The 10,144-nt window shown below is 44.3% G+C and overlaps 1 long non-coding RNA gene and 1 pseudogene across 1 annotated transcript, besides 2 other annotated features; both read right to left on the bottom strand.

The window, feature by feature from the left end:
* Positions 1–1,985: 1,985 nt before the first annotated feature.
* SEPTIN14P8 (septin 14 pseudogene 8) lies at positions 1,986–2,363 on the bottom strand (annotated as a pseudogene).
* On the bottom strand, positions 4,254–7,081 carry LOC124902051 (uncharacterized). The gene is made up of 2 exons (XR_007061161.1): positions 4,642–7,081; positions 4,254–4,548 (listed from the first exon to the last, which is right to left on the bottom strand). It is a non-coding gene; the product is annotated as an uncharacterized LOC124902051 (long non-coding RNA).
* Positions 8,623–8,702: a silencer, noted in NCBI's record as "silent region_18876". NCBI's record gives its function as "represses an Ori minimal core promoter by ATAC-STARR-seq in GM12878 lymphoblastoid cells {active_cell/tissue: GM12878}" and the evidence as "EXISTENCE:reporter gene assay evidence [ECO:0000049][PMID:35858748]".
* Positions 8,827–9,049: a silencer, noted in NCBI's record as "fragment chr8:157026-157248 (GRCh37/hg19 assembly coordinates)". NCBI's record gives its function as "represses an EF-1alpha promoter that drives an FKBP-Casp9 reporter gene in an ReSE screen in K562 erythroleukemia cells {active_cell/tissue: K562}" and the evidence as "EXISTENCE:reporter gene assay evidence [ECO:0000049][PMID:32094911]".

Genomic DNA, 10,144 nt, shown 5'->3' on the forward strand with positions numbered 1-10,144 from the left:
TTATATGTAATTCTCATAGTAACCAAAAATGAAATATACATAGAATATAAACAAAAGGAAATGAGACTAGAAACAAAATGTGTCACTACAAAAAAATCAACTAAAGATAAAAAAGAAATAATTGAGAAAATGATTGGCAAAAATCAGTAACTCTGACGTATTAAAACTTTCCATGCTACATAAATCTGAAAACTCTATTTCACATAAAACTGGAGCTGAAAGAAACAAATATTTACCTATAAAGTTAAAAGTTATATAGGGAACAAACACTAATTTTTTTTAGAAAAAATTATAAAAAGAGTAAAAATATGCCTTATACTACCGTAATTTCATGTTTTACAGCTCTGGGAAAATAGAAAATAAAATGTTCTGTTAGCATGAATCCCTCTGTGCCCCCAAAAAACCCTATGGATTGCATCATTATTACCTAAAAAGTCTATTCTCAAATGCAGCAGAGTGATATTTTTTACAAGGTAGATATTAATTTTAGATATGGAATAATATTGGTGATTTCAATTTTATAACACTGCGTTAAGATGAAAGAATGAGAAGATAAAGGTCCCTCAGCAATATAACTCACAAACATGTTCAGAAGCAGTAAGAAGTTACATTAATTATCTTTTGAAAGTCGATAATCTACATCTTTAATGTATGCATATAGCATAGCTAATGTACTATCGCTGGGTCCATTTATTCAATGAATAATTGCTGCTATGTGTCAGACATTTTTCTAGGCCTAGGAATGGATACATAAGTGAACAAAGCAAAGATTCTGGTTCTTGTAGAGTTTCCATTAAAAGACAATTTAGTAAAACTTTTCTTCCCCCAAATTATAAAATCTGTAAGATGATTTAACAACATGTGTAAAAGTCATTGTGGGCCAGGCACGGTGGCTCATACCAGGTGTGGTGACTCATAGCACTCTGTCACCCAGGCTGGAGTGCAGTGGCACAATCTCTGCTCACTGCAACCTCTGCCTCCTGGGTACAAGCGATTCTCCTGCCTCAGCTTTCTGAGTAGCAAGGACTACAGGTGCACACCATCACGCCTCGCTAATTTTTGTACTATTAGTACAGACGGAGTTTCACCATGTTGGCCAGGCTGGTCTCAAACTCCTGACCTCAAATGATCCGCCCACCTCGGCCTCCCAAAGTGCTGGAATTACAGATGTGAGCCACAATGCCCGGCCTTATTTTCTACAACTTTGGTAACTTTAGCATATACCCCAAATCTGTAAGACATAATATTATAATTCAAATGCAACTCATGGCTTCTCTTTGTACTCTTTCTCTAGCTTTTGAATTATTTATTCTAATACCAGTTTTAATTCTGACACAAAATCATGGGAGTTCTAATCAAAATCCAACCTTTTATCATAAAAACTATGAAGAAATTATGAGTAGAATTTAAAAAGGAAAATAGGCCTATTAATTAGATTTGTCTTTGTAGCATTTAACTCTATAATAAATAATATTTTATGCCTATGAGTCCCCAACAAAGCCTCCAGCTTCTATTTAGATATAAACTGTAAAAGTCACTACTGGATCCACAAGCAAGACTATGGTAAATAAATTTCTCCACCTAACCAGCTTCTTTTACATGATGTTACATGTTTCTTTTGTTTTTTCATTTTGGCAAATATTGATTGTCATCTTCGTGTTTGTCTATGTCCTAAGTGCTGGGATACAGAATCTGAAAAGATGGACACAGGACCTGCCTTCAAGTTCACCCCCTTTTTTTTTTTTTTTTGAGATGCAGTTTTGCTCTTGTCACCCAGGCTGGAGTGTAATGGTGAGATCTCTGCTCACTGCAACCTCCACCTCCAGGGTACAAGTGATTCTCCTGCCTCAGCCTCCCAAGTAGCTGGGATTACAGGTCCCAGCCACCACGCCTAGCTAATTTTTGTATTTTTAGTAGAGACAGCGTTTCATCATGTTGGTCAGGCTGGTCTCGAACTCCTAACCTCAGGTAGTCGACCCACCTCGGCCTCCCACAGTGCTGAGATTACAGGCATGAGCCACCACGCCCTGCTAGGAGTTCACGCTTTAGTTGGGGAAAATATACAATAAGCAAGCCAGTTTTTAAAATGAGAACTGCAATTAGAGTTAAATGCTACAAAGACAAACTCACAGGAAGATGGGATGTAGAATGATAAGGCTCTCAGAATAGTAAGAGAAACTATTGCTTCTTACGATGTTTGTCTTTCTTTGTATCGGTGCTCAGCTGAGTCTGCAGTGCTTCAGAGGCAGCTTTCATTTTATAAAAATCTATGATTTCTCCTTCCAGTTGTTTTTTCTCTTCCTCGAGCTTCCTTATCTCCTCCTGTTGAATCATTTTAAGATGCTCGAACTTGTCCTGCAGCTGTGAAACCAATGTGCAGTTGTGACACCAAAGCAGTGTGGCTGAACACCTAAAAGAATATGCTTTTTTTCTGATTATCAAACAAACCCAAATCATCACAGTAGAGCACGATCTTAATAACAATCTCAAAAACTCAGGAGTAAACACTCAGATATGGAATTTTTCTTTTCTTTCTTTTTTCCTTTTATAAGATGGAGTCTCACTCTGTTGCCCAGGCTGGAGTGCACTGGTGCGATCTCAGCTCACTGCAACCTCCATCTCCCAGTTCAAGTGATTCTCCTGCCTCAGCCTCTTGAGTAGCTGGGACTATAGGCATGCACCACCACTACAGGCGTGTGCCACCACACCTGGCTAATTTTTGTATTTTTAGTAGAGATGGGGTTTTGCCATGATGGCCAGGCTGGTCTCGAACTCCTGACCTCAGGTGATCCACTGACCTTGGCCTCCCAAAGTGCTGGGATTACAGGTGTGAGCCACCATGCCTAGCCAAGAAACCCTTATTTTAAAACAAGCCAGGCGCGGTGGCTCATGCCTATAATCCCAGCACTTTGGGAAGCCAAGGCGGGTGGATCACTTGATGTCAGTAGTTTGAGACCAGCCTGGGCAACATGTTGTAACCCCATCTCTACTAAAAATATATTTTAAAAATTAGCTGGGCATGGTGGTGGGCACCTGTAATCCCAGCTTCTCAGGAGGCTGAGGCAGGAGAACCACTTGAACCTGGGAGGTGGAGGTTGCAGTGAGCGGAGATCACGCCACTGCACTCTAGCCTGGGTGACAATAGAAAGACTCCATCTCAAAAACAAAACAAAAGAAAACAAAACAAAAAACCACAAAAAAAAAGACTCCATTTCAAAAACAAAACTAAAACCAAAAACACAACACAAATGTAGTACACAAATGAAAATAATTACTGTGTTAAACACAGTTTCATAGAAAATAAAAGACCAATCAAATACAATAAGCTGCCTTTTTAGATGGGTATGTTATTCTTCTTTCACAGCTAAAGAAACAGGCTCAGAGAATGTTATTTGATTGGACCGTGTTGCATTTCTGGACAGTGCAGCTGAGATCAGACTTTGTGTGTAACTCCACTAGCCTACCAGGGTGCCTCTCATAAAGGTAAGAAATGTAAATCTGGCCTAATATACAAAGTTGCCAGGGCAGCACTGGGTCAATTCTACATACAGTACTTCTATGTTCATCAAGGGAAACCTTAAGGGAAAATGAAAATGTTTCTAGAAGGCGACTGGACACCAGCGCCTTTGCTTGTTGCCTTTGGGCTCTTCTTCTAAGGCCAACAGTGACCTGAAATTATTGACTGGCTTTTCCAATCAAGTGGACAAAATGGTACCAAGGTCGCCAACATCGATGTACAACATTGATGTTCTACAACATTGCTTAACGCAAGGGGAGACGCTCCTGACTCAGAGTGTTTAATTGCTCACCTACTTCTTTTTCTGCCCTCTTTGGCTTCTGAAATGAAAAGAACCCTGGGGTGATACAGTGAGTCAAAGGGGTGCCAGCCGCATCACAGCAAAATAGATTCCTAAAAAATCCCTGGCCTAAGATGACAGCCTTGCCTGGATCAGTTTCAATGTGCTGATAGTGGACATGGTAGAATGAAGGTGGTTGAAATGTTCATATTAAAGAACTTCCACCCAGATTGCAAGAAAAGAGAGAGGAATGGAGATGGCAGCACGAGCCCCTACAATAAAAGCAGATGTTTTGAGATCAGTTATATTTCTTCTGACAAAAATTAAAGATAGAAACCAAAGTTTAGCCTGAGACTACAATTAACTGGGCAATAAGCCAGAGGCACATATGGCATAGACAGATTTAAACATTTCTCCCTGATATTAATACAAACACTAAAATTACAAATGCATGGATTCCAAATAAAACAAATATTTAAAAAATTTAATGAATAAAAACTGGGGTCTACAGTAGTATTTGAAGGAGATCTCACAAACAGGTTTGGTTTTTGAAGGTTAGAACTGGTGGTTTAGAGAATTCATTTCATTCCAGAGAAAGAAAGAGAGGAATTTCTTGGGTTCCTTCAGGAATGCATCTAGCTTTGCCTCATCTTTGTTTGAACTATGGATACGGCAGAAGAAAACAGGAGGATTTCACAGATTTAAGGTACAAAAAGTCACTGGGTTCTCTAAGAAGTCTGGGATTCTTCTGCTGGAAAAATAAGTTTGTTGAGAAAAAATGAGTTGGAGGAAGCTGTTATTGAAGTGAAGCAGAATTGTTTTTACTAATCTGCTTATTACCCACTCTGTAGTGTGGAAACAAATTATTCATGCACAAGGTCCTCTTACTGTTCCTAGAATGCAGTGGAAAGAGAACAGATTAGTTTTCCTCCCTCAGAACACAATCCCTAGAAACAACCTACCTCAGATGAGATATTGCCTAATTATTTTCAAAAGACAGTGAAACATCATGGATGTAAATGTTTGCTGCAAAATAAATACATGCTAGAAACAGAAGCATCTGGGTCACAGCTATATTAGAGCTACCTGTGTTCCCCTGTCACTGACATTAAAACAAAAATGTCCAATACAATCATTCACAGCGTGGGAGAGGGGAAGTTGAAGGATGGAAAGGCCAGGCATAAAAGGATTTCAGAATTTCCGTCCATAAGGAAGTGGCTTTGTGCACTGTCTGTTACTGTGTGCAAGGTGAAATTTGAAGAATGAAAACGTGCAGTAACAAGGGCTCCTTTGTCCAACTCACCTCTCCAGATACCAAGTTTCAGACATGTTGCATTTTAATTGAAAGGTTGATATAATTTTTTTTAAAGAACACTTGCGGTGTTTGAAGTGACAAAGGCTGCTGTGACAAAAAAGCAGGGAAAGGGAATTTTTTTTTAAAAGCAAACAACAACAACAAAAACCCCACAGAAAAGCAAACAACAAACAAACAAAAAACAGAGGAAGAAGTCAAACACCCTGGGCTGTGACTACTTCCAGGAAGGGGCTACAAGAGGCAGTTGGAAATTCTATTTGTTTTGCAACTGTGGGTTTTCTGGCCCGCTTCCTTTCTAAAGTATATTACTCTGCTTTTGGTTCATGAAGTTATCCATTTCTGTTTTCTGGAACAGCTATGTATTTTCTTTATCTATCATCTATCTATCTATTTACCATCTATCTTTTCTACCTTTTGCTATCAAGAGCTTGGGTCAAGCAGGATAGAATTCCAGTGTATGTTCACTCTACCATTTAAAACAAGAGCTCTTGTAGGCATTCTCCATCACATCATAAACCTGAGCTTTCTAAAACAGGGTGTGGCAAACTACCATGCATGGACCATGTCTGACACAGTCTGCGTTTGTAAGTAAAGTTGTAATAGGACACAGCCAATACATGTGTTACATAATGTCTCTGGCTACTTTCATGGTATAATGGAAGAGCTGAGTCATTGAGAGAGAGACCATATGGCTTGGAAAACTTAAAATATTTAACATTTAGCCTCCTGCAGAAAATACTTGCTGACTCTTGTTTGAAAAGATCTCTGTTTAGAATGCTACCTATTGCGTTCTGGATAGAATCACAACTCTTTACCACAATCGACACAGCTTCAGCCCTGCTTCTATATCCAGCCTCATCTATTTCTGCTCCTCCTCCTTATTTTCCTTCTGGCCATGCTGATGGATTGTCAGCTTCCCAGATGTGTGAGAATCTCTCCTCCCTTCCTAACATTCTCATGCTCTCCCTCTGCCTCTCAAGAACTTCCTGCCCCATCTCTCATGACAAATCCTTTCTACATTCTTTAAGATGCAGCCCTTTTGCTCCTTCCTTAAGGATGTCTTGTCTGGCTCTATTTTGGGTGACGTGCTCCTTCTGCATCTCCCAGAGCCAGCCTGTGTGTGTCAGCTACAACATTTCTTTGCATCTCTGTGTCATATATTACCAAATCTGCCTAAGCTTGCATGAGTCACTGCATGACAACTTCAGACTCCACCAGCATTGTCCCCACTAACCACAAGGCTTAGACATTCGTCCAGTATGCTCGGGGTTGTGGGGTGGTAGCAGTAACCAGCTGGTGACCATCATTTCTTACATCAGAATCAAATCTGTAGATCTCTGCCATTCATAAGTATTTGGAGTTTAAAATTAGCATAAAGATTTTCCTTAAAATAAGAAGAAATGCCTTGAGTAGGCTTTTGGAACATAGGATGTTTCCACTGGTTCATTTCTGTGTTCAATATTCCCACATGAATCTAAACACGACTCTGCTCTTAGTAGCTATGTGACCCTGGGAAAGTCACTCAATCTCCCTCAGCTAAATTTTGTTGTGTGAGTAATGAGGAGAGAGTTGTGATTTGTATTTAGTGAATAATAACAAAAGGCATTTAGCTTTCTGGAACCTGGTATGTAGTAGAACCTCATGAAATACTAGCTCTGTTGATAAAACTAGACTGAAAGAAGCTTTCAAAGTCAACAACAGTTTGAGGCAGTGAAGGACGTAGAGGAGAAGCTGCTGCTGCAGGGGCCTGTAGCTCCTGGAAGCCCGTTTTGTCCATGATTTAGCAGGAATGCATTACCCTTCCATGACGAGGCACAGCCCACAGAAACCAAGGCCATTCTTTGAAGAAAAACATGTCTTAATAGCGTTTACATTACGTAACAGTGTAATACAAATAATAATTTATTATTAGTAATAATGTGAAATTATTTACAGTACCGTAACCCTAACTCTCACCCCTAATCCTAACCCTAACCCTAACCCCTAACCCTAATCCTAACCCAAACCCTAACCCTAACCCAACCCTAACCATAACCCAACCCTAACCCTAACCCTAGCCCCTAACCCAACCCTAACCCAAACCTAACCCTAGCCCCTAAACCTAAACCTAACTCCTAACCCCTAACTCCTAACCCTAACCCTAACCCTAACCCTAACCCCTAACCCTAACCCCTAACCCCTATCCCTAACCCCTAACCCCTAACCCCAACCCCAACCCTAAACCCAACCCCAACCCCAACCCGACCCTGACCCCGACCCCTAACCCTAAACCCTAACCCCTAACCCTAACCCTACCCCTAGCCCGAACCCGAACCCGAACCCTAACCCTAACCCCTAACCCTAACCCCTAACCCTAACCCTTAACCCTAACCCTACCCCAACCCCAACCCTAACCCCTAACCCCTAACCCTCACCCTAACCCTAAACCACATGAGCAATGTGGGTATTATATTTTGGGTGTCATGTGTGCATTAGGAATGCTGCATTTGTGTTCCGACACTGCAGTTGGCCCCTGCAATGCAGCCCCTCGCCTTGACTTGGGAGAATCTCGGTGCGCAGGATTCAGAGGGGCTTTTGGTTTCCCGTTTTCCACACTGAACCGTTCTAACTGGTCTCTGACCTTGATTATTAACGGCTGCAACCGGGAAAGATTTTATTCACCGTCGATGCGGCCCCGAGTTGTCCCAAAGCCAGGCAGTGCCCCCAACGTCTGTGCTTAGGAGAATGCTGCTCCACCTTTACGGTGTCCCCCAGGTCTGTGCTAAGCAGAACGCAGCTCCGCCCTCGCGGTGCCCTCAGCCCGCCCGCCCGGGTCTGACCTGAGGAGAACTCTGCTCCGCCTTCGCAGTACCACTGAAATCTGTGCAGATGAGAACGCAGCTCCGCCCTCGCGATGCTCTCCGCGTCTGTGCTGAGGAGAACCCAACTCCGCTCTCGCAAAGGCACGGCGCGCCGGCGCTGGCGCAGAGAGGCGCGGCGCGCCGGCGCAGGAGCTGTTCGGGAGACGCGGCGCAGGGCATAGACGCACGCCTCCGCGTCCCCGGAGGGGAGGGGTCGCTGGGCGGGCGGGAGTGAGGCGCGGCGCAGGCGCAGGCGCAGAGACGCACGTCGCTGGGCTCAGGATGGCGGGGCGTGTTGCAGGTGTACAGTTGCACGCCGCCGGGCGGGGAGCGCGGGAATGGCGAGGTGCAGGCGCAGAGACACACGTCCCCGGCGGCGCAGCGCACAGACGGGTGGAACCTGAGTAATCTGAAAAGCCCGGTTCGGGTGCCCCCTGCTTGTACCCGGGCACTACAGGACCTGCTTGCCCACGGTGCTGTGCCATTGCGCCCCCTGCTGGCAACTAGGGCAACTTCAGGGCCCTCTTCCTTACAGTGGTGTCCAGCGCCTCCTGCTGGCGACGGGGCACGGCAGGGCTCTCTTGCTCGCAGTATACTGGCGGCACGCCGCCTGCTGGCAGCTAGGGACATTGCAGGGCCCTCTTGCTCACATTGTAGTGGCAGCACACCCGCCTGCTGGCAGCTGGGGACACTGCCGGGCCCTCTTGCTCCAAGTGTAGTGGCGGCTGCTCCCCTGCTGGCAGCTGGGGACACTGCCGGGCCCTCTTGCTTGCAGTGTAGTCGGGGCACGCCCTCTTCTGTCCGCTGGGGGCACTACAGGATCCTCTTGCTCAGTGTAGTGGCAGCACGCCCCCTGCTGGCAACCAGGGCACTGCACGGTCCTCTTGTTCATGGTGTGGTGCCCCTACGCCACCTCCTGGCAGCTAAGGACACTGCAGGGCCCTCTTGCTCACAGTGTAGTCGTTGTTCGCCCCCTGCTGGCAGCTAGGGACACTGCCGGGCCCTCTTGCTGACACTGTCGTGGCTGCACGCCACATGCAGGCAGATGGGGACTAAGCAGGGCCCTCTTGCTCCCGGTGTGACGGCTGGCGTCCCCTACTGGCCGCCTCCTGCACCACTTAAAGTCAGAGCGCCAGTTATTAATCCCCATCAGTTCTGTAAATGAAAACTGAAAAGGAGCTATTACTGGGGAGAGCTGATGTCCCAGTTATTAACTTGGAAGAAAGATTTTCACCAAGAGGCAGTACAAAGATGGAAGATAACTTCATTGAAAAGAAATACAGTGTAAAGAGCTTATTGTAGGAAAATAGGGAGGAGTGGGTTCATAGTGCATGAAAACAGCCTAAGAGTCCTGTGCAGGGAATTTTATTTTGGACTTCTTCACATTCCTGCCTCTGTCTCAAGTCTATGCTTGTTTTCCTTGGTTTTCCTGCTACTGCCTTAGGTCCCTGACTTGCCCCACTTAGGCTTGTGGGACCTCCTGTTGATTGAGGTACACGTGGGGTGATGAATCTGAATCCACTCTGGCACCAACCTCCTTCCCGCCATCCCAGGCAGGCTGACAGCAGTCACGTTTGTATCTACTGCACCTGCCTCTTTTGAATGTCTTTCTCTGCCCTAATCTGTACTTATGGTGCCAGGTTTCTCTTAGGAATGTCCCCTTTGTCCTTCTTATCAGCATGTAGCTAGCAATATTCTGACATTTTTATTGCAGTGAATGATGATTGGGGCATCTTAAGAGAAGTTCTAGGGTGTTTCTGTGTAGGTACCTCTTCTCCCTCCTAAGCACAATTGACAAGTGCCCATCCACTCCAGCACTGGAGATGCTACTAATATGTGCATTTTTGGTGGTCCCTCCAGGTGAGCCTTCACAGACTTTCCCTTTTCCAGGAGCTCCCCCTCCTGTTCACGTCTAGCTAGCTATCTACTCTAACAGAGCCCACTATCCTGTGTCTTTCCCAAAAATAGTGAGGGAATGATTAATTGGAAACCATAAGAAATCATATGCATGTAGATGAAAACTTTACAACTTACACAAATAACCACTCAAAATCATCCTTACACTAAAAATGCAAAACTATACAATTTCTAGAAGAAACTATAGAAGAAAAGCTATGTGCCTTTGCGTTTGGTGATGAATTTTAACAAATGACACAGAAGGTTGATATACACAGAAGAAATGACAATGTGGA

This window comes from Homo sapiens, chromosome 8 (assembly GCF_000001405.40).
Source record: "Homo sapiens chromosome 8, GRCh38.p14 Primary Assembly".
In the NCBI taxonomy this organism is placed as follows: Eukaryota; Metazoa; Chordata; class Mammalia; order Primates; family Hominidae; genus Homo; species Homo sapiens.